Source organism: Homo sapiens, chromosome 22, assembly GCF_000001405.40.
Source record: "Homo sapiens chromosome 22, GRCh38.p14 Primary Assembly".
Classification (NCBI taxonomy): Eukaryota; Metazoa; Chordata; class Mammalia; order Primates; family Hominidae; genus Homo; species Homo sapiens.
The window spans coordinates 20,108,103-20,128,829 of record NC_000022.11 but is presented as its reverse complement, the minus strand read 5'-3'; the positions used below and the strand labels follow the sequence as shown (position 1 = coordinate 20,128,829).

General features: G+C 58.4%; 3 protein-coding genes and 2 non-coding genes across 22 annotated transcripts in view, besides 4 other annotated features; 2 read left to right on the top strand and 3 right to left on the bottom strand.

Moving 5' to 3' along the window:
• Positions 1,475-12,726, bottom strand: RANBP1 (RAN binding protein 1). 9 transcript variants are annotated; one of them, NM_001278639.2, is made up of 6 exons: positions 12,400-12,726; positions 9,681-9,817; positions 6,409-6,566; positions 3,394-3,522; positions 2,462-2,527; positions 1,475-1,878 (listed from the first exon to the last, which is right to left on the bottom strand). In NM_001278639.2, the coding sequence occupies exons 1-6, from the start codon at positions 12,643-12,645 to the stop codon at positions 1,778-1,780; spliced, it is 837 nt and encodes a 278-aa protein (NP_001265568.1). In that variant the 5' UTR covers positions 12,646-12,726; the 3' UTR covers positions 1,475-1,777. The 9 variants fall into 9 exon arrangements, with proteins under 9 accessions (NP_001265568.1, NP_002873.1, NP_001265569.1 ...); NM_002882.4 differs by lacking the exon at positions 12,400-12,726 and adding an exon at positions 11,166-11,325; NM_001278640.2 differs by lacking the exon at positions 12,400-12,726 and adding an exon at positions 11,166-11,325 and having other exon boundaries at positions 1,475-1,875.
• SNORA77B (small nucleolar RNA, H/ACA box 77B) lies at positions 2,304-2,428 on the bottom strand. The gene has a single exon (NR_145765.1). It is a non-coding gene; the product is annotated as a small nucleolar RNA, H/ACA box 77B (small nucleolar RNA).
• Positions 10,724-10,783: a silencer, noted in NCBI's record as "silent region_13476". NCBI's record gives its function as "represses an Ori minimal core promoter by ATAC-STARR-seq in GM12878 lymphoblastoid cells {active_cell/tissue: GM12878}" and the evidence as "EXISTENCE:reporter gene assay evidence [ECO:0000049][PMID:35858748]".
• Positions 10,904-11,463: a silencer, noted in NCBI's record as "silent region_13475". NCBI's record gives its function as "represses an Ori minimal core promoter by ATAC-STARR-seq in GM12878 lymphoblastoid cells {active_cell/tissue: GM12878}" and the evidence as "EXISTENCE:reporter gene assay evidence [ECO:0000049][PMID:35858748]".
• Positions 11,604-16,955, top strand: TRMT2A (tRNA methyltransferase 2A). Of its 6 annotated transcripts, none has more exons than NM_182984.5 (13): positions 11,604-11,733; positions 11,858-11,947; positions 12,218-12,792; positions 13,050-13,158; positions 13,383-13,564; positions 13,751-13,865; positions 13,954-14,069; positions 14,145-14,256; positions 15,022-15,144; positions 15,323-15,398; positions 15,596-15,712; positions 15,823-15,919; positions 16,036-16,955. In NM_182984.5, the coding sequence occupies exons 2-13, from the start codon at positions 11,924-11,926 to the stop codon at positions 16,265-16,267; spliced, it is 1,878 nt and encodes a 625-aa protein (NP_892029.2). In that variant the 5' UTR covers positions 11,604-11,733; positions 11,858-11,923; the 3' UTR covers positions 16,268-16,955. The 6 variants fall into 6 exon arrangements, with proteins under 6 accessions (NP_892029.2, XP_011528441.1, NP_073564.3 ...); XM_011530139.4 differs by having other exon boundaries at positions 15,269-15,398; NM_022727.6 differs by having other exon boundaries at positions 11,604-11,947.
• Positions 11,704-11,783: a silencer, noted in NCBI's record as "silent region_13474". NCBI's record gives its function as "represses an Ori minimal core promoter by ATAC-STARR-seq in GM12878 lymphoblastoid cells {active_cell/tissue: GM12878}" and the evidence as "EXISTENCE:reporter gene assay evidence [ECO:0000049][PMID:35858748]".
• MIR6816 (microRNA 6816) lies at positions 14,079-14,144 on the top strand. The gene has a single exon (NR_106874.1). It is a non-coding gene; the product is annotated as a microRNA 6816 (primary transcript).
• Positions 16,353-16,852: an enhancer, noted in NCBI's record as "H3K4me1 hESC enhancer chr22:20099501-20100000 (GRCh37/hg19 assembly coordinates)". NCBI's record gives its function as "activates a minimal SCP1, AML or CMV promoter by ChIP-STARR-seq in naive H9 embryonic stem cells {active_cell/tissue: H9 hESC(naive)}" and the evidence as "EXISTENCE:reporter gene assay evidence [ECO:0000049][PMID:30033119]".
• DGCR8 (DGCR8 microprocessor complex subunit) overlaps positions 16,958-20,727 on the bottom strand; it is a 31,632-nt gene continuing 27,862 nt past the window's right edge. For all 5 annotated transcript variants that reach the window (NM_022720.7, NM_001190326.2, XM_047441419.1 and 2 more), the window contains 2 exons: positions 19,827-19,940; positions 16,958-18,805 (listed from right to left, as the gene is read on the bottom strand). In NM_022720.7, the coding sequence (NP_073557.3) occupies positions 18,722-18,805; positions 19,827-19,940 (198 nt within the window). In that variant the 3' untranslated portion in view covers positions 16,958-18,721. The remainder of the gene's footprint in view (positions 18,806-19,826; positions 19,941-20,727) is intronic.

The following is a 20,727-nucleotide window of genomic DNA, read 5'->3' as shown; positions in this document are numbered from 1 at the left end:
TAGGGCACTGGAAACCATGAGGAGTCGGCACAGCCTTCTCTCCTGAGCTGGCCTTTTCCTCTGCAGGGGCCACTCTGCCACAGGGACCCACCAAAGTCAGCCTTGGCTGATGCTAGAGACCATAAAGTGGTTCCCATTTATGTAAAAATAAACAAACCTGAGAGTAGTTGACTTTGGAAGTACATCCCCCAGAGCAGCAGTCCCCAACCCTTTTGGCACCAAGGATCAGTTTGGTGGAAAACAATTTTTCCATGGACCAGGGGTGGGGGAGTGGTTTCAGGATGAAACTGTCCACCCCAGATCATCAGGCACTAGGTTCTCATAAGGAGTGCACAACACGGATTCCTCACATGCGTAGTTCACGTTAGCGTTCGCACTCCTATAGGAATCTAATGCCCTGCTTATCTGAGGGGAGGCGCTCAGGTGGTAAAGCTCGCTCGCCCACCACTCACCTCCTGCTGTGTTGCCCAGTTCTTAACAGGCCAGACTTGTACCGGTCGGCAGGCCAGGGATTGGGGACCCCTGCCCCAGAGAGACAAAGGACTGGTGTTTAAACCAGCAGGCAGTCACCAGACAGGACACAGCACACGGAGGTCAGAGAGAACAGGGCCCAGGCCCAGGTGGAGGGCACGAAAGAGCAAGTGATGGCAGCAGGCAGCCAGCCTCACAGTAAGCACGTCTGGTAGGTGTTCATGACAAACGGTGACAGGGCACGTTATGGCAGTTGGGACCACACACTTAAGATGGTATTTGCAGAGACAATCCATTACACATGACAACCCCCAATGGCGTACTGGAAAATATCTCCTTATTTAAAGTTACTGCAGATGCCCATAACTCCAACACTGCCAAGTGTGGACTTCAAGTCCAGGAGGCCAAGACCCCAGTTTTCTCCAAGGCCAGGGTACAATAGGCTTTCCAAAAGAAGAGCTACAGGGCCGAGCCCCCACCCCCAGCACACCAGACTGGCCTTTCCCTCCACAGGGGCCACTCTGCCACAGGGGCCAAAGTCAGCCTTGGCCGATGCTAGAGACTCTGCTCAGTTGGCTACTGCCTCCCTGCTCCAAAGCCAAGGTACTCCAGTGGTCTTCCTTTCTCTCCTCAAAACACAGAAAGCCCACCCCTCCTCACCATAGAAAAAAAGCAGTAGCTGTTCAGGCCATAAGGCACAGTGGAGCCTGCCTCGGCAGAGCCCACGCTGCCCAGCCCACAGTCGTGCATCAGTACCACACCCGGCACCAGACACCCCTGGCCAGGCTCCCTCACCAGCGCCAGCTCAGACACCTCAGCTTCAAGGCCCACAGCAAGATACATGCACGACCTCAGACACCAGGGCGTCTCTCCCAGGAACCCAGGCTACCGTGAGGTGCAGCACCCACCTGTGCTGCGGACAGGCCTGGACATACACCCGGGAGGCTTAGGCGAGCGGCGCTCACAGCGCAGGGGCCTGTACACACACAGTCCTGCCATCTGGCCCAGGTTCCAAATGTGTTTTTTATTCACTATTTTTGATGACTATAAATAAGTGTTTCCACTATGGAAAAGAAAGTTAGCACAGTACATTTTCATGACTGGGGAATGGATTTTCTGAAGTCATCTTCAATAGGGCAAAAACTTAGAAACAAAAAAAAAAAACAACCTGAATGTTGAGTTCAGTTCTTTATATAACGTCCCTTGTAAAAATGAAAGAATAAAAACAAACCGAAAAAGAGGGGCAGGGTAAAATTTTTTAAAAAAAGGAAAGGAAAGAGAGGAAAAGAAAATAAAATAAGACGATTTATTGCTTCTCCTCAGCATCCTCCTTGGTCTCCTCCTTCACCGAGAGAGCTTCTAGCTTTTCCGCCACTTTTTCGGCATGATCATTTTTGCCTGATCCTGCTAAAAACACAAGCAGCACAGTGAGAAAACAGAAGCACGGTGCATTCAAGCACATGGCCCTCGCCAGGCTGGTCCCAAGTGCCGTCACCCACCCACAGCGGCTTGCCCGCCCTCGGGACAGACTCCTGCCTGGCCAAGCCGCCTCCTGGAGTCTGTCTTCTTGAAATTCAGTGACGAAAGGAAGCCAGGTGGATGCACTCAAGCACTGCCTAGACCATGGTCAGGCTGCTCAGTGACATCTGGTCACTTGCCACCACAGCTGCAGTCCAGCCTCATGGCAGAGGTGACCAAGCCCTCTGAGAGACAAACCGAGGACCATCATAAAGCACCTTCTGGTGAGCTCCAGGCAGTGCCCGGACTCCAATGCCTGCCCAATTGGACTGAGGCCAGCAACACTGACAAGTGCTCAGGGCTCCCCAGGAAGCACCTGTGTCCCCAGGGAGCTGCATCACTCTGGATACGTGAGGCGGCCACAGCACCCTGGAATGTTTATCTGGCAGACAGAAAAAGCACCCGCCTGGAAGTATAGTCAGATGCAGAGTGAGTCTGCAAAGAAGCCCCCCAACCCATGGCACCACGTCACCTTTCTTTTCTCTCTCTTCGATCTCTTTCCTGCATTCTTCAAACTTTGTTTTGAATTTCTGTGCATCTGTGGAAGGGAGAGCGAAGACTTCCTAAGAGCTGTGAGCAGTGGAAGAGACATGCCCTGCCGGGTCTGAAGAGTCAGGATTCACAGAAGACCCATTTCATGGTAATTGCTGACCTAAGAAAGGACTGGTCCACCTGACATCGGCCCTGGCCTTCTGTCTCCTTCATCTGACTGCACCCATTTGGGCAGAGCGGTAGAGCACGGACCCTCAGGCAACCAAGGGGCATGGGCCTCTTTGCCACAGGCTCGGCTCCCAACCGTGTTGGAAAGGCTGCTGGGGCAGCCACGCCCACAGCAAGGACAAGGTCACTTGGCACCAAACGGCCAGCTACCAGGCGCCAGGCCACAGTACCCACTGACTCCTCCAGGAGCCACTGGACGCAGCTTGGACGATCTGGACTGGAAAGACCTCTGAGCAGGGAAGAGATCAGCCTGGGCCTGTGGATCTCTCTGCCCAGCCCCTGCTGGCACCCAGGCAACCATGAGGGGCCCCTGGCCCCAGTGAACCAGAAGCCTGGCACGAGGATCAGCACTGGGAGGAAGCCCTGGGTTGGGCCTCAGGCTCCGCAACAACTAATGGGAACCGGAGCTTGGAGAGCAAACCAAAGTGCCAGCCACAAGGCGGCTGAGCGGGCACTGCTGTTCACCAGCTACTTGGCACAGCTTTGAGTTTAAGGGGGAAGGCGCTGCTCATGGCTTCAGTCTGGGCATGGCCCCCAAACAGCAGGGCAGGGCAGCCCACACGACACACTTCCCAGTTACTGCCCCCTCTCCCCAAAAGGCAACAGCATTTGTTGCACATAACCCGCCACGCTGCCACGCAGGTGAGCCCCAAGTCAGGCAGGTCCCCAGGGCCCTTGGCTCACTCTCAGCATTCAGGAAGCGGATGGCCAGCAGCTCTGGCTTGGGGCACTCGTCGGCGAAGTCAGCGTGGGTGTTCCAGACCCAGGCACGGTCGCTACCTGCGTTGGGCTTCAGCTCCATCATCGGCGTGACTGAAGAGAGAGAAGCTCGTGAAGATGGTGAGATGACTGCAAAGGCCAGCCCACCCAGCCCTCGGCCACAGAGCACCCTGCTCACCAACCTGAGGGGTCTGCTTCAGACAACACGGGGACAGTCTGGGGTTGGAGAACCAGGCTTAGACAAAGTACCACGGCGCCTGAGTTTTATTCAAACCTCTTTGAAAATCCTCCATATTCACTTAAAACCAGGACCATCCTAAATAGGAATGGGCACCTGTTCCCTGACCGTAAGGCCATCTCCACGAGGAGCTCCTGAGCTGTGTTCAAGATCACTTGGCACACAGACCCCCACCTCCAGAAATGCAGAGAAGCAGAGCTGGCAAAGCAGGCCCCAGCTGTATCCCAGGGCTGCACTCAAGCCCAACCCTGATCCCCTTGATTCTGACCCTGGCCGTGAAGTCAGAAGCCCAGGGTCAGATATCAGGGCACAAGGCCCAGGGGGCCCAGTCTTTCCTAAGGGAACCCAACACATAGAGCCAGCCTATCTGAAAGTGGGGGGCAGCAGAAGGCTAGAAAGTGGGGCAGTTGCCAGAAGGGAGCCCACTGGGGGCCGTGGCCATGCATCCCCATGATTGATGCAGGAGTGCCCACCTGCATCCCCATGACTGAAGCCTGGAGGGCACAGGAGACAGAGCCACGGCCTGCAATGGACGCCTCCACCCCAACTCCCCAGGCACAGGCAGCCCCAAGGGGAGATGGCCCTGCAGGTGACCACTCTTCAGAACAGCTCCCTGAGAACCCAGACCATCCCAGGTGCCCATGCCCAGTCCAGGCCACATGCACCCCCAGGATACCCCTACACGTCACTATCTGAACTGGGAGCTGGGGGGGGGTCTCGTCTACTGCAGCCTGCCACAGCGGATGCCAAGCCCCCTGCATGCCCCCTTCACACCCCGCCCCGACCCAGCCCACAGCCTCTTCGACACCTTACCCAGAAGCCAGCCTCTACCCACTGCCACTTTCCCTGTCTACCAAGGGCCCATGATGGGCACAAGACACTGCTGGCTACACAGATGGCTCTGCCCAGATGCCCAGGAGCCCAGAACCAACTTATGATGCACACACAACAACCCACAACCTGACCCAGGCTCTGGGAGCAGCACAGGGCATCAGGGAAGACCCCCAAGGAAATGATTCAAACGGCTCGAGGAGGAGGACCAGCCAGAGTGCAAGCTTCCCCAGGACTAGACATGCTGAGCAGGGAGGGAGGGGAACCCAGGAGCCAGTTCCCAAGGAAGTCTGGCAGGCCAGGCCGTGCAGTGAGGTGCCCATGGCATAGGCAGACCACCACCCACCCCTCTGCATCGCCCTCAAGGGCTGAGCCACTCAGGCTCCTGCCAGCAGTCATCCTGCACCTGGGATGAGGGACCCTGCCCCGCCGGACACGCATGACACTCAGCAAACGACACTAGGAAGCTTACCAAGGGACACCCCAGGACAAGTGTACTTCCAAACATGCCAACAAGCTGGGCAGTGCAGGTTCAATCTAAAGACAGCTGGCAGCCAGCCATACTCAGGACAACCTACTGCCACTTCTTTGCAGGCCAGGCTGGACCCCTCACAGGGTGGCTGGAGCTCTTGGCTGAACCTGCCCAAGGGCCTCTACTTATGTAGCTTCAGAGGCGCCCAGGACCTGGCCACCTTCTCAGCCCCGTTCCCCTCCCGTTTCCTCCCCAGGAAGATCCTGGTGAGGGTAGAACACACCATAACTGGGGAGGCTGGTGCCTGGGCACCTCACACATCTGCTCTTACACTGCCCGAACACCCCCAATCTCTCTCACACACACCCCCACCGCGATACCGCACCCCCTCAGACACCAAACCCCCCCAGACACCACACACCCCCCCCAACACCACACACCCCAACACCCCCAGACAACACACACCCCAACACCCCCAGACACCACACACCCCAACACCCCCAGACACCACACACCCCAACACCCCCAGACACCACACACACCCAACCACACCCCTTAGACACCACAAACCCCCCTAGACACCAAACACCAGATGACCCCTACACACACCCCGGATACCACACCCGCCCCCCAGACACCACACACTGTACACCTCCCCAGACACCACACACCTTCAGACACCACACATGCCCCGACACACCTTCAGACACCACACAGCCCCCCAGACCACACACCTTCAGACACTACACACACCCCCAGACACCACATACACACCCCAAACACCAAACACCCAGACACCAGACCCCCAACCACACACCCCCAACCACCCCCGCCAGACACCACACCCAACCACATACCCCACCACACCCCCCAGACACCAGACCAACTACACACCCCCAAACACCACACCCAACCACACAACCCCCGCCCCAGACACCACACACCTTCAGACACCACACAGCCCCCTGCCCCAGACACCACACACACCGAACCACACACCCCTATACACCACCACCAGTAGACACCACAGCCCCCTAGATACTACACATACCCCCCATTAACCCCCCCCAGACACCAACCCCCACCCCCCAGACACCACACACACACACACACACACACACACACACACACACACAGCACCCCCTCGCCCTGCAGCACTCACTCCTCGTCCCGAGCCCAGCCTGGGCGCTGCGTCCTCCCATCAGGGCCCGTCTGGCTGACTCCACACCCCCGTGTGCTCTAAGCTTCGCTGCGGGCCTGCTCTGAGTTCAGAGGCACGTCTGAAAAACGTATTTCTGGTTTTAAATTCAACAAACACACCACAAACTTGCACTCCATGAAATAACACGCTCCCCAGTTCCCAATCAGCCCTGAATCTTCCCAAAGGTCCCAGGCCAAGCTGCTGGGGACTGTCGAGGTGGTCGTTCATGCCACCTACTGTAGTGGTTGGCACAGATCTTCAGGGTCTTGTCCCTCCGCATGAGGAGGCGGATGGCCCCTTTCTCCTTGTGCTTCAGGAGCTTGACGTCACCAGTGCCTCGCTCCTTCCATTCTGGGAGATCGTTCTCAGAGGCAAATCGGAACAGTTTTGCCCGCCTGCAAGAAAAGCCGTGAGGTTAAGAGTGCAGACCTGCAGCCCACATGCAGGGCCTGCGCAGGAGGACACAGGACAACTCTGCACTGCAGGACCCCATGCCTCCACGAACGCCCCAGCCCTTCTTCAGGCTCCAAGAACTGCCCGTCACAACACCACCAGAAAGCGCAGCAGCCCAACAAACTCCAGGTCATCTTGAATTCCGGTTCCACAACCAAGAGAATTAGACGACCGGGCGCGGTGGCTCATTTGTAATCCCAGCATTCGGGGAGGCCGAGGCGGGCAGGTCATCTGAGGTTAGGAGTTCAAAACCAGCCTGGCCAACATGGTGAAACCCCATCTCTACTACAAATACAAAAATCATCTGAGTGTGGTGATGCACGCCTGTAATCCCAGCTACTCAGGAGGCTGAGGCACGACAATCACTTGAGCCCAGGAGGCAGAGGATACAGTGAGTGGAGATTGCCCCACTGCTCCTACAGTCACAATATTTCCCTCAGTGGGGACCAGCCTGGGCAACATAGCAAGACACTATCTCTACAAAAAGATAAAAATTAGCTGGACATGATGGCTAACACCCGTAGTCTCAGCTACTCAAGAGGCAGAGGGAGGAGGATCCCTTGAGCGCAGGAGTTCAAGGCTGCAGTGAGCCATGATACCACTGCTGCACTCCAGCCTGGGTGAGAGTGAGACCCTATTTTAAAAAAAAACAAAACAAAACAGGGCACAGTGGCCCACGCCTGTAATCCCACACTTTGGGAGGCTGAGGTGGGTGGATCACCTGACGTCGGGAGTTCGAGACCAGCCTGACCAACGTGGAGAAACCCCCTCTCTACTAAAAATACAAAATTAGCCGGGTGTGGTGGCACATGCCTGTAATCCCAGCTACTCGGGAGGCTGAGGCAGGAGAATCCCTTGAAGCCGGGAGGCAGAGGTTGCGGCGAGCTGAGATCACACCATTGCGCACCAGCCTGGGCAGCAAGAGCGAAATTCCATCTCAAAAAAAAAAGAGAGAGCAGGCGCGGGGGCTCACGCCTGTAATTCCAGCACTTTGGGAGGCCAAGGCAGGTGGATCATGAGGTCAGGAGATCCAGACCATCCTGACTAACTCGGTGAAACCCCATCTCTACTAAAAATACAAAAAATCAGCCAGGCATGGAGGCATGCGCCTATAGCCCCAGCTATTCAAGAAGCTGAGGCAGGAAAATTGCTTGAACCTGGGAGGCAGAGGTTGCAGTGAGCCAAGATCGCGCCACTGCACTCCAGCCTGGGCAACAGAGCAAGACTCCGTCCCATGGTCACTGTGCAAGAGCACCCCAGCCCCAGAGATCTGCAGGGACAACATGGATCAGGTGCAGGCCAAGGACCTCTGTCACGACACCACCAGGAAGCACAGCAGCCCAAAAAACTCCAGGTCATCTTGAATTCCACTTCCACAACCAAGAGAATTAGATGACCGGACGCGGTGGCTCACACCTGTAATCCCAGCATTTTGGGAGGCTGAGGCGGGCGGGTCATCTGAGGTCAGATGACCCAGAGAAGAGGCCCAGGCCTCTAATCAGGCAACAGGCCCTGGCCAACACCTGGCCCTCCTGCCCAGGAGCAGCCCCTCCCGCTGGGGACCAGGGCACCCAGAATCCAGCAGTGCACTCAGGGCTCAGGCTGGCGCCCTCCCTCTGTGCACAGCTCTGCCTGCCTCTCTCAGACGACTCTGCTCTCTGCCCCAACATGATTCTGGCAAGAGACTGTCTCACAGGGTTCCCCAACAGGATGCCCCTGGAGCTTTACTGCAAAGACCCGGGCCCACCCTGCTGGCCTCACCTCCCTCAGGAAGGGCCTGGGCCCAGGCCACCAGGAGCACCTCCCACCCGACATGGGCAGTGAGGGAACAGAGGCAAGCACTTCACCACAGCAAAGAGCTACTCCCAAACAGGGGCTACGGCAATGCATCAGCAGAGTGGAGCCATGGCCACCCAGTGGTTTCAGGGAGATGTCCATCACCCTCTGTGACCAAAGGGTGACACACAGCTCTCCTTTCCCAGGTATCCCTCCTGGCCCCCTTCCTTGGATAGGAAACTCACAGTAGGAATGACTCTCTCTGCTTCCCTCTCCCACCCCAGAGCAACAAAACCTTAACCTGGACTCTTAAAGCAACTTCAAGGATGGGGGGATTCCATGAACTTGAACAGGGAAAAACTACAACCTCATTTTCACTGAGGTGTGTAACTAAACATGATGTTTGTTGCAATCCTGAGTGTAGGCGACAGGCCACAGTCTCTGTGGTGCTGTGACACTGTCACAAGACACAAGGCTGGTACCCACCACTGTAGCCAGCTCTTAACTGAAAGCGTCAAGAAGCACATGTACAGAATTTTTTTAAGTGGTTTTAATAACTAAACCATCACCTATTTTCATGTGTTATCGCAAGCATCATGTTGTATATTAAGGGTGGGCCGGGCGCGGTAGCTGACGCCTGTAATCCCAGCACTTTGGGAGGCTGGGGTGGGCAGATCATGAGGTCAGGAGATCGAGACCATCCTGGCTAATACGGTGAAACTCCGTCTCTACTAAAAATACAAAAAATTAGCTGGGCGTGGTGGCGGGTGCCTGTAGTTCCAGCTGAGGCAGGAGAATGGCGTGAACCTGGGAGGCGGAGCTTGCAATGAGCCAAGATCGCACCACTGCACTCCAGCCTGGGCGACAGAGCGAGACTCCATCTCAAAACAACAACAACAACAGACACCGGGTGGGGGATTTATAAGCTTCACGATGCCAAAGAAGTCTATGCTGCAAAAACTTAAAACCCCCTGCTCAACCAAGGGACTCCCTGGATCCTCAGAAGCCAGTGGCAAAAAAGGGCAGTGGGGCCGCCATGCCAGTGGACAGAGCAGCAAGATGGGATGCCCTTCATGCAACTGGCTGCAGGGCAGCAAGGGCATCTGGTGAAGATTCATGAAAGGAACGGGTTAAATTTCCACATGGGATTAGTCACCAACTTTAGGCCCTTTCTTTAAGCAGCCTCAGTCTGATTAAAAGTCAGGCCAAAACCTGGACACCCATAAAAGTTGTAACCTCAACCTTAAAGAGTCCTATTTCTGGGACATCAGCCTACTTACATTTTAAAAAGTTCCTCTTCATCTTCTTCCAGTGTTTTAATTTCTTGCTCAGGAAGAGAAACTATTGGCTCAAACTGAGGGTCATGGTTGGACTCGTCTGTATTCTCAGTGGAAGTATCATGGTCCTCATGAGTGTCCTGTGGAGATACAAAGAGGTTACACTGCTGGCCTATGGATCTGGCTCACAACCAGAGCCCAACCAGTGCCTGCAGTGGTCAGCCCTCCGACAATGAAGGGACTTCAGATACAAGGATGGGCCCAACCCCAAAGCAAGAAATTAGGCCCACTCTTCCACACTAGGAAAGCTCTGCGTTTATGCCCAGCTCCATGTGAGCACAGAGTGAGACACCAGAACTTGGGGCCCCTCCCCCAGATTCACAGACATCAATCAGATCTGTGCACAGACTGATGGGGGACCCTACAAGCCGCCAACACTTGCAGAGAGTGGCCTGGCAGAAACTGCCTCATCTCTTTGAGCATCAGTTTCTTCCTCATCCATAAAATGCAGATGATACCTGCTGTGTGAAGATCAAAGGACACAATGATGGGTCGAAATAGATTTTGAAATATTACTTTAAAGCAAAATGTAACTCTTTCAGTTTTGACTAATTAGGAAATAGTTGTGCTCTTGCTTAGTAAAACGAAAAAAGTCGCTACAGGACTGCTAGTATTTACACTGGATTCACAGCTCTGCCAGCAATTTTTTCACAGTTCAGAAAACTAAGTTAATAACTAGATAAATTGTACCGGTGAAAGTCATGAAATCCTGGCCCAATTTAGAGGATAAGAGAGCACCAATAATCATATTTTAGGTTCGAGTCTTCCAGAACACATGCCTTGGTCACCCAGAAGTCCGTAAGAGACCCAAGACTTCACCACTAGACTCAAACTGGAAAAGAAAACATAAGCTTTTCGCTGCTCTTCACTGTTCCCCACAGCACTGCGGCTCTGCAGCGGCCCGCACTCAACCAGACACCGCAGCCAACAAAGCCGCCGCCTGGGTCGGCGCATCTAGGACCTGTGCCCCACGCTGGAACGCGAGCTTCTGCCACAGAGGCCAGTGGCGGTTCCAGACGTAAGAACCGAATGAATGAAGTGCTGCGTGGGCGACGGAAAGAATAAATGCACCGTACTAGTGGGGAGCCCCAAGTGGGCCGAGCCGGAGGAAACCCGCCGCCCGCACCAGTTCCTGGAGGCTGGGGCCGTCCCGCGTGGCGACGGCCGCTCCCCAACCCACCCCAAGGTCACGCGGGGGCCCTGCAGCCCCCAGGCCTCTGCAGAGCCTGCACCCCCAAACGCCCCAACTCCGCAGGCCTCGAGCCCCCAAACCCCACGCGCCCCGACTCCGCGCCACCGAGGCCCAGCAGACGGCCGAGCCTGCAGGCCGGCGGAGGTTGGTGGCGGCGGCGCGGGCCGCCCACGTGGCCGCTGATAACGGCCCCGGCCCCGCCCGCCCACCCTGTCCCCGCTTGGGCCCGGCGGCACCTTGGCGGCCGCCATGGGGGCGCGGCGGCGGCGGCGGCTCGGCTGGGTCGGTCGTCGCTGGCTCCGCGGCCTCTCGGCGGCTACTCGTAGCTCCTTCCCTCCGCGTCTGGCGCCGGCGCCTCCCGCCCGCCCGCTCTTCCCTCCGCCCCACGACCCGAACCTCGACCCCTGACCCCAGCGGCGGGAAACGCGCCGCGATTCAAAACCAGTACAGCTTTATTGGCTCAGGAGGCGGACACTCTCATTGTCCGGCCCGCCCCGCGCTTCCCGCCAAAACGCCCGCGGCGCATGCCCGGCCCGCCCGTCAGCCAGAGGAGCGCGCACTCCCGGCGACACCCGCGCGCACTTCCGTCCCGGCCACGCGCGCCTCTAGAGCTGGCTAAAGTGGTTGGGGGTTGGATCCGGCGCGTGACGATGACGTTGCCAGAAGCCAGGATCATAGAGACGCTCGGCCTCCGCCGCACGCGCTGGCGGACTAAGAGTGGCTGGCGAAGCGAGCGGCCGGCGCGGGCCCCTGGCGGGCGGGCGGTACAGCCCCAAGCCTGAGACCCGGACCTGAGCATCGCAGGTTCGAGTCCCGCCCCGCCTGGGGCGAAGCCGGGGGTGGCGGCGACCTCGCGGCGTTGCACCGGCTCTGTGAGCACCTCCCCTCTGAGCACTTCCCTTGTGACAGGCCACTTCCCTTGTGACAGGCCCAGGACGAGGTGGCCAGGCGGCCCCCATGGCGTCCCTGGTCTAGGCGGAGAACCGCCTGGGCGATGAGTGAGAACCTCGACAACGAGGTAGAGTGCGGGGAGACGCTGGGTAGAGACGGGGATGGGGTGGGAGGAGGCGGGGTGGGTCAGGAAACCTGCCAGAGAATAGGTGGGGACGAGGCAGGTGCGATAGGGGAGGAAAGGAGACGGGAATGGGGTCGGGAGGGTAGACTGGGGGAGGGGCAGGGCTGAGTGCAGAGTGCACCGACGGAGGTCTGGGTGTCCCATAAGGAAGCTTGGGGGGCCAGGCCCCCAGGGCCTAGTCCTCACCCTAGCACCCCATCTGTCCCCACACAGGGCCCGAAGCCCATGGAGAGCTGTGGCCAGGAGAGCAGCAGTGCCCTGAGCTGCCCTACCGTCTCGGTGCCCCCTGCAGCCCCGGCAGCCCTGGAGGAGGTGGAGAAAGAGGGCGCTGGGGCGGCTACAGGGCCGGGGCCTCAGCCCGGGCTCTACAGCTACATCAGGGATGACTTGTTTACCTCTGAGATCTTTAAACTGGAGCTGCAGAACGTGCCTCGCCACGCCAGCTTCAGCGACGTCCGGCGCTTCCTGGGCCGCTTTGGTCTGCAGCCCCACAAAACCAAACTCTTTGGGCAACCACCCTGCGCCTTTGTGACATTCCGCAGCGCTGCAGAGAGGGACAAGGCCCTGCGCGTTTTGCATGGTGCCCTCTGGAAAGGCCGCCCACTCAGTGTGCGCCTGGCCCGGCCCAAGGCCGACCCCATGGCCAGGAGGAGGCGACAGGAGGGTGAGAGTGAGCCACCAGTAACACGAGTGGCCGACGTGGTGACCCCTCTATGGACAGTGCCCTATGCTGAGCAGCTTGAGCGGAAGCAGCTGGAGTGCGAGCAGGTGCTGCAGAAACTTGCCAAGTGAGTGTGGGCGCAAGACGCCCCTCTTGGCCAGGGCTCTGCCCGGCCTGTGCTTCCTCAGCCTGTCCATGCACCAGTTGGGAGGCCCAGCACAGGATCTGGCGGCCCCTTTGGGAGCTAGCCAGCAAGACACCCACGTCACAGTGGGCACAATGACATCCCAAAGGAGGGGTCAGGAGCCTGGACATTTGGGGAGTGGCCTGGCATGGGTCGGGGGCAGTAGGTGGAGTCCAACCACCGATCTGCTCCTCTTACAGGGAAATCGGGAGCACCAACCGTGCCTTGCTGCCCTGGCTGCTCGAGCAGAGGCACAAGCACAACAAGGCCTGCTGCCCGCTGGAGGGGGTCAGGCCATCACCCCAGCAGGTCAGACTAGACTTCGGTGGCCACAAACCCCTATCCTGGGTTTTGAAAAACTTTGCTTTTGCTCACCCTTCCTGTTGATCTCCCTGCTTTGTGTTTTCTTCTGGTAACATCACATAGTTGTCAGCTGTTCCTCTTGTTTGACTGCCAGCCCCTGTGGGGAAATCAGGGTTTCCAGGCCCAAGCGCTGGGCAGCCAGGGTAAGGTGCAGCTCTCTCTCCCTGCAGACTGAGTATCGTAATAAGTGTGAGTTTCTGGTTGGCGTCGGGGTGGATGGGGAGGATAACACCGTGGGCTGTCGGCTCGGCAAGTACAAGGGCGGGACGTGTGCTGTGGCAGCCCCGTTTGACACCGTGCACATCCCCGAAGCCACCAAGCAGGTGGTGAAGGCCTTCCAGGAGTTCATCCGGTGAGGACCTGTGACGGGGCTCCCGGGAAGTCCTATGCGGTGTGGGAGCAGAGGGTGGTGATCCTGCCCCGGGAATTCTGGAGTGCCTGCCATTTCAGCCAGATGAAGGAAGGTGTGGCCAGAGGAGAGAGCAGGGGGACTGCTTGCCCAGTTGTGGGCACTTGGGCCAGCTCGTGATTCCCACAGGTCCACTCCATACTCGGCATACGACCCAGAGACGTACACAGGCCACTGGAAGCAGCTGACTGTGCGCACCAGCCGCCGCCACCAGGCCATGGCCATTGCCTACTTCCACCCCCAGGTCTCAACGGGGGCCCTGCTGGGGGAGGGTGCCTAGCCTAGGTGGGCCTCAGCACAGCCTGATGGGAACTTTTCACCACTTACTCCAGAAGCTGAGCCCTGAGGAGCTGGCAGAGCTGAAGACCTCCCTAGCGCAGCACTTCACAGCAGGGCCAGGCAGGGCCAGTGGAGTGACCTGCCTCTACTTCGTGGAGGAGGGACAGCGGTAAGGAGCCCGAGTGGGGCGGGGCAGGTCCCTGCAGGGACTGTGACACTGAAGGACCTGCACCTTCGCCCACAGAAAGACTCCTAGCCAGGAGGGCCTGCCCCTGGAGCATGTGGCTGGGGACCGGTGCATCCACGAGGACCTGCTAGGGCTGACCTTCCGGATCTCTCCACACGCCTTCTTCCAGGTAGCCATGAGTCCCTGGTGGGCATGGGGACATGTTGAGGGAGGCCTGACGCACCATCAGGACGTGATGGGAACAGTGGGCTCAGGCGGTGAGATTTGGGGGAGTATCCAGGCAGGTGAGCCACAGGGGAGGGTGAAGTAAGAAAGAGGTTGGTCATCACTGATTTGACTCGGGATAACCTAGAGGTACACACGGCAGTGGCCCTTGTCACAGGGAGGATGAGGAGTGGCCCTCAGTGCATTACCACAGGGCACTGCTCTGGGCTCGGCAGGAGGGAGGCCATGGTGGCCTCTGGGCTGGGAAATACTGTTTCACTGTTTGCTCACTGCTGCAGGAAGGCTGTGGGGACCTGGAGCGGCCGTTTTTGGAGACAGGCCTGGCAGGACCTCCTGGAGGGCTAGGTGTGGGGGTGGGAGCTGCAGTTGGGTGATTCCAGGGGCCCCGGTGTGAGTTGTGGGAGGCAAAGCCCCCTTGCTGGGGCAGGGAAGGTACAGCCTATTGGCCTGCGGGGCCTCATGAGCCCTCAACCAAGTGGGGCAAGGAGGAGGCTGTGCTTAGCACGGGCTTGGCTTTTAAAGCCAGGGGCTGGATGAGGGCATCAGCAAGGCTGGTCCAAGGTGGGGTCAGGGAAGACGTTGGGCACCAAGGTGGGGAGTGGGCGCCGGAGGTCCCGGCAGGATGGAGGGACCAGGAATGTGGGCGTCGGGGCACCAGTGGCACCACAGGAGAGGAGCCACTGACATCCTGGGCACCGCCTGCCCCCAGGTGAACACACCCGCAGCCGAGGTGCTCTACACAGTCATCCAGGACTGGGCCCAATTGGATGCGGGGAGCATGGTGCTGGACGTGTGCTGTGGCACCGGCACCATTGGCCTGGCCCTGGCCCGGGTGAGCCCTCCTGCCCTGCTGAGGGCACCCTCTCCCCACCCCAAGACCCCCATTGACCCCAGCTCAAAGTCACCACAGCTGACTCCATCATGCCCCAGGCCCAGCTCCTCTTTGCTGCCCACAGGGCCCCATGTACTCCCCTCCCTGGGTGGGGCGACACCACGCTTTCCTGTTTCAGAAGGTAAAGAGGGTCATTGGGGTCGAGCTATGCCCAGAGGCTGTGGAGGACGCCCGGGTGAACGCCCAGGACAATGGTGAGTGGCAAGGCCGTGGGTGGGGGTGGGGATGGGGGCAGCCGCCACCCCTGCTGCAAGCCTCAGCCACAGCCAGGGCTTGGGGGCTGCCCGACAGGTAGAGCAAGTGAGCAAGCTCTTTGGCTAGGGGTTCCCCAGGGCTGGCCCTGCTGGGAGGGCATGTGGCCCTCTGACAGGCCACGGTGCCATCTCTTCAGAGTTGAGTAATGTGGAGTTCCACTGCGGGAGGGCCGAGGACCTGGTGCCCACCCTGGTGAGCAGACTGGCCTCCCAGCACCTCGTGGCCATCCTGGACCCACCCCGTGCTGGCTTGCGTGAGTGGCTTTTGCTTAAGGAGGTGGCACGGGAACGAGGACACATGGGGTGGCTCACCATGTTATGCACTCTCTGGCTGTGGGGACCCAGCTGGTGTTTGCCTCCTCAGATTCCAAGGTGATCCTGGCCATCCGGAGAGCTAAGAACCTCAGGCGGCTGCTGTACGTCTCATGCAACCCCCGGGCAGCCATGGGCAACTTTGTGGAGTGAGTGTCTGCAGGGGCCTGGGTGGGGGCTAGGCCTGCTACCAAGCCCCCAGCTCCCACAGGAGCCCCTGATTAGCCTATCGGCTGACCTTAGCGCCCCCCTTTTCCCCCCACAGCCTCTGCAGAGCCCCATCTAACCGGGTGAAGGGCATTCCCTTCCGGCCGGTCAAGGCTGTGGCAGTGGACCTGTTCCCGCAGACCCCGCACTGTGAGATGCTCATCCTGTTTGAGAGGGTGGAGCACCCCAATGGCACAGGGGTCTTGGGGCCCCACAGCCCTCCAGCTCAACCCACACCAGGACCCCCAGATAACACCCTACAAGAAACTGGGACCTTCCCCTCATCCTAGGCCCAGGACCCATTATGGGGACAGGAGCTGAAGGGCTCCCAGGGCCCCAGGGGCGGGGAAGGCATGGCTTGCTGGCCAGGATATTCAGAGGTAGGCAGCCAAAGGGCACAGAACCCTGTGCCCCACCAGGATTGGCCTGCTGCTAGGGGCCAGGGGCCCTGACCAGGAAGACAGGTGGGTTCCTGTAGCCTGTTGCCCATCCCCAGGGCCTTTGTGGACTAGCCAAGGCTGTGAGGGCCAGAATAAACAACTGCTCAACAAAGGGTGTTTCTGTGATGAGAGCCAGGGGTCTGAACACAGGGCCTGGGTGCCAGGGAAAGGGCCAAACTAGGCCTAGGCAGCTCTGCAAGCCTCTCTGCATGGCTGGGGGAGTCAGGGCAGAGCTTACTTTAAAAAAGAATGTTCGATTTGATACTTAAACTTGAGGAGAGGCAGAGAGAGGTCTGGGAACTGCACCAGCTGGGGGCATGGGGTGGAGAACACTGGGCAGAGTTGGCCCCTCTGTGGCCAGCCTGGCCCTCAGCCCAGCAGAGAGGGCATCAACCAAGGAAGGGGCCATGCTGGGGTGCTGCTCAGCTGTTACAAAGGCAGGGTCCAGCCTGCAGGGAGGCCCCAGGAGGGGATCTGGCCAGTCAAGGGTCCACAGGGTGCCAGCCTCTCACCCTCAGAATAAAGACATCAGCCATTCCCTTCTGGACAGTTTGCTTTATGTGTTCAGACAATCAAGGCTCGCCTTCCAGGCACAGCCCAGTGCCCTGGATGGCATCAGCACAGGCTCCCCTGCCCCGGCCTTGAAGCATGGCTGTGTGCACGATTCATACCCATGCTTGGCAGACGGGTGGGGGGGGGGGGGGGGCGCACAGAGACCACAAGAGTATGGCAGCACCTGCTGTGGTGGTGCCTGGGAACAGCAAGACACAGCGAGGCTCCCCAACCTTTAGGGGAACACATGTGCACGAAGCTTTGGTTCACAGGCGCATCTGGCTGGCTAAGGGCAACAGTCACAGTCAAATGACTATTCACAGCTGCAGACAGGAGGCAAGACAGAAGCAAGTGTCTAATTATAGCAATTTGAGTTGAGGGTTTCTTTTTTAAAGGTCAACAGAAGCCAACCTTGGTCACACAGGTAGTGAGGGAAGGATATGTTGTGGGCGGCCCACAGGCCAACATTGTTTTCCTGACAGAAAAAAAAAAAAAAGCGCCATCAGTACCGCCTGTAGGGGGCATGGTGGGGGACAGACACGGCAGAACGCTGGACTCTTGCTTCAGATGGCGCACCACAAGCACACGGCACTCTGCACAGGTGCCAGTCCACCACCAGGGCCAGCCTTTGAGCACACCCTGGTGCCTCAGACTCCGGCAGGAACACATTTCCATCGCACACCCACCCATAGGGGCCACCAGTCGAGAAGCAAGCTGGGCACCAGGCAGCTGCCTTTGACATCCAGAGAAACCGCTGTCACAGGCAACAGCTCTGGATCAAGAATGGGCTACACTGAAGGCCCTTGCTTCCTGTTTCAACAAGTCCACTTGCTAAAATGCATGATTCCAAATCTACCTTCTACTCTCACTGTGAAAGTCTTTCAAAATGCTAAAATATCACAAAAGCTTTAAAAATCAATGGGTGGACATATGGACTCGACTGCAAAAAATCTTTGTAAAAAACTGTTGCCGGAGGCCAGGAAAGGCAGAGAGGGCCTCAGTGTCCAAAGAGGCGCTTTTAGGGAATTAAGACTTCATCAGAAAAAGGGACCCTAGGAGGCCAGGGTAACTCCAGGAGGTGGCAGGACGTCATCCTTGCTGGCATCGTGTCCAGACTGGAGAGGGACCACCTTGATGGTTTGCCTCCAATCCCAGAAAGCTAGTTCTGATGCTAAAATTCTGTTTAAGCCAAAAAGGTTTAAAATATTCCTTTCTCTTCTACCTTTTCAAAGAAGGGGAAACACAGAGGGTGGGTGAGGGCAGGGCACCATGTGCACCTCCTGACCAGGTCCCTGTAGCAGCCCTGCAGGCGCCCTGGGCACATGGGCCACCTGGCATCACGGGCCAGCCACAGGACTCAGCCATCCCCTCTCATCTGTCATCCAAGCATCATGTGTCGTCAGTGCGTATTACATACTAAAATTCATGAAAGCCTTCATAAAAAGAGCCTGCAGCAGGTGCACAGAAGCAGGGTCCACCACTGTCCACAGTCACCAGCTGCCACTGGTGCAGTCGCTGAGTCCATCCATTCAGGCCTGGAGCTTTCCAGGGAGAGCCGCTGCTCCACATGTGTGCTGTGTGGCCATGGCTGTCCCTGTACACTAAAGCCTCCACCCTAAGGCCGGGCCCACAGGTTGGCCACAGGGAAGGAGCGTGGGTTGGAGGCCTGACACTGTGGTGCACGATGCATGACTGCTGGTCTCCTCAGAAGTGCGGCTGGCGGCCCCCGCGCCCTGGCCCGTGCCACCTCCCTCACACGTCCACGGTGCACAGGGGCTCACCGCCAGGCTGGGCGGACGCCACAATGGACATCTTGGGCTTCTTTCGAGTCTCCTCCTGAAAGAACAACAAAGGTCAGGGGTACCAGTGAGGTGGGCTTGGCAGAGGCTCGGGAAGACACAAGGTGGAGGGAGAGCCCAGCAGATCATGCCAGGAGGCCCTGGAGCCCCAACGGCACCAGTGCTTGTGATGCCAGGCTAGGAGGAGCAGGGAAGGCCTGGGGCAGGCCAGCCTGAGATTGCAGAGGCCCCCTGCATTGCCATCAGAGTACAACATGTGCAGCCTCCCTGGCAATCAGGACATGTACCAAGAAGTGAAGAATTTTGGGTGCAGTTACAGGGACAGGCCAGGCCTCCCCATTGGGTGTTCCTCCCTTGCCCAGCTTTTGCTTGCCCCAGGCCCAGCCAGGAGCACTATGTCCTGCACCTGCTGCCCTTGAGCCCCACAGCCCCTCTTCCGACCAGGGGCAAACCAGGCAGTCCCACTGGCTCCAGGAGGCCAAGCCCCACCCCAGGGAGCAGCAAGGGACCTGCTGGCCTGGGCGGCAGCAGATACCTCCTGGGGCTCTCACCCAGGCCAGGGGACTGCCACACTTAAGAAAGCTCCCACCCAGAAGGCCCAGGTGGGCAGGTCACGCCGTGGCCAGGCAGACGATGCCTGAAGACAGAAGACACCACTGCCAGCCTGACAGGCCCCTCTTTGAGTGGGGTTCCCAAGGTGGCTTTAGGAGGCTTCATCAGGACCAAGCCCTACAGATTCAACCCTGGCAGGTGCACTGACCTACCTCCAAACACCCAGGGAGGACATGGGACTCAGGTGGCCCACCAAGACTGTGACCTTCATGGTCCACCAACAGGCTGGCCTGCCAGCTCTCTAACAACAGAACCAAAACTGAAGTGATTTATAAAACTATCACACATGTCGAAGCTCAAAGAAAAGCCTGTATCTGATTTTGGAAGGAGGATCCAAGCATTTCCAAGGTGTCAGCTCAGGCACGGGTCCTGGGGTCTGCTGTCCCTCCACAGGTGCCACAGGAATGGCCGTGGCCCGGCAGCCCTCCCGCTAGGGTGGCACTCACCCTTTCCTCAGCTAGCCTCTTCATCTCCTCTTGGAGCTTGCTGAGGATGTGCAGGTTGGGCTTGTTCTTCTTGGCATACTGCTGCAGCTCAATCACACTCTTGTCCGATGTCTCCTGGGAAGTATAGCACCTCACGCTCAGGACTGCAGGCTGTAGCTCTACGGCCTGCCCGCTGCCCAGCAGCTGTGTGCCTGGGACCCTGAAGGCAGGCGCGCCCAGGGTCTGGCAGACACGAAACAGCCAGGAGCTGTGGCAACATAACTGCATGCTGACTGGCCCGCCTCAGTGATGCCAGGCCCACTGACAGCAGCAGAGAGCGAGGGGCAGTCCATAGCTGCCAGGCCTTTCTGCCCACACCACGCCACTTATATGGCCTCCTGCCATGGGCAGAGTAGGGAGGTGAGGTGCTCGTGGTGCCCAGAGTCCTCATCAAGGAGTGAAACCAGAGTGTGGCCATAGCCAGTAAGAACAGCACGCTGCAGCCCAGCCCATCAGCCTCAGGCACTGAGCTCTCTGCACACTCCATGAATGCAGAGCAGCATCAGGCTGGCCTCAGCCCCTTCCCGTCTTAGGCCAGCCCCAAGGGTGCTGTGGTTCCTCGGGATGCCAGAGCTCCCCCAAGCTGTGGCTGTGCCTGGCTGGGACCTTTCCCCCTCCTGCTCAGGGAAGTTTCCCACCCCCGGGCCAGAGTGGGGCTTGCCTTCTCTCCCTCCGTCACAGCCAAGGACCATGCACAGCAAGGGCAGAAGCAAGTGCTACCTACATTTCAACTTGCTTCCCAAAAATCTCTCTCAAGTTCCTTAACATGCCCTGGTGGCCCGTGTGAGCCCCCTCACCCTCCCTTATCATGTCCAGAGTAAAGGCCTCTTCGGGGACAGTGCCGAGGCCTCGGTCTCAGGGA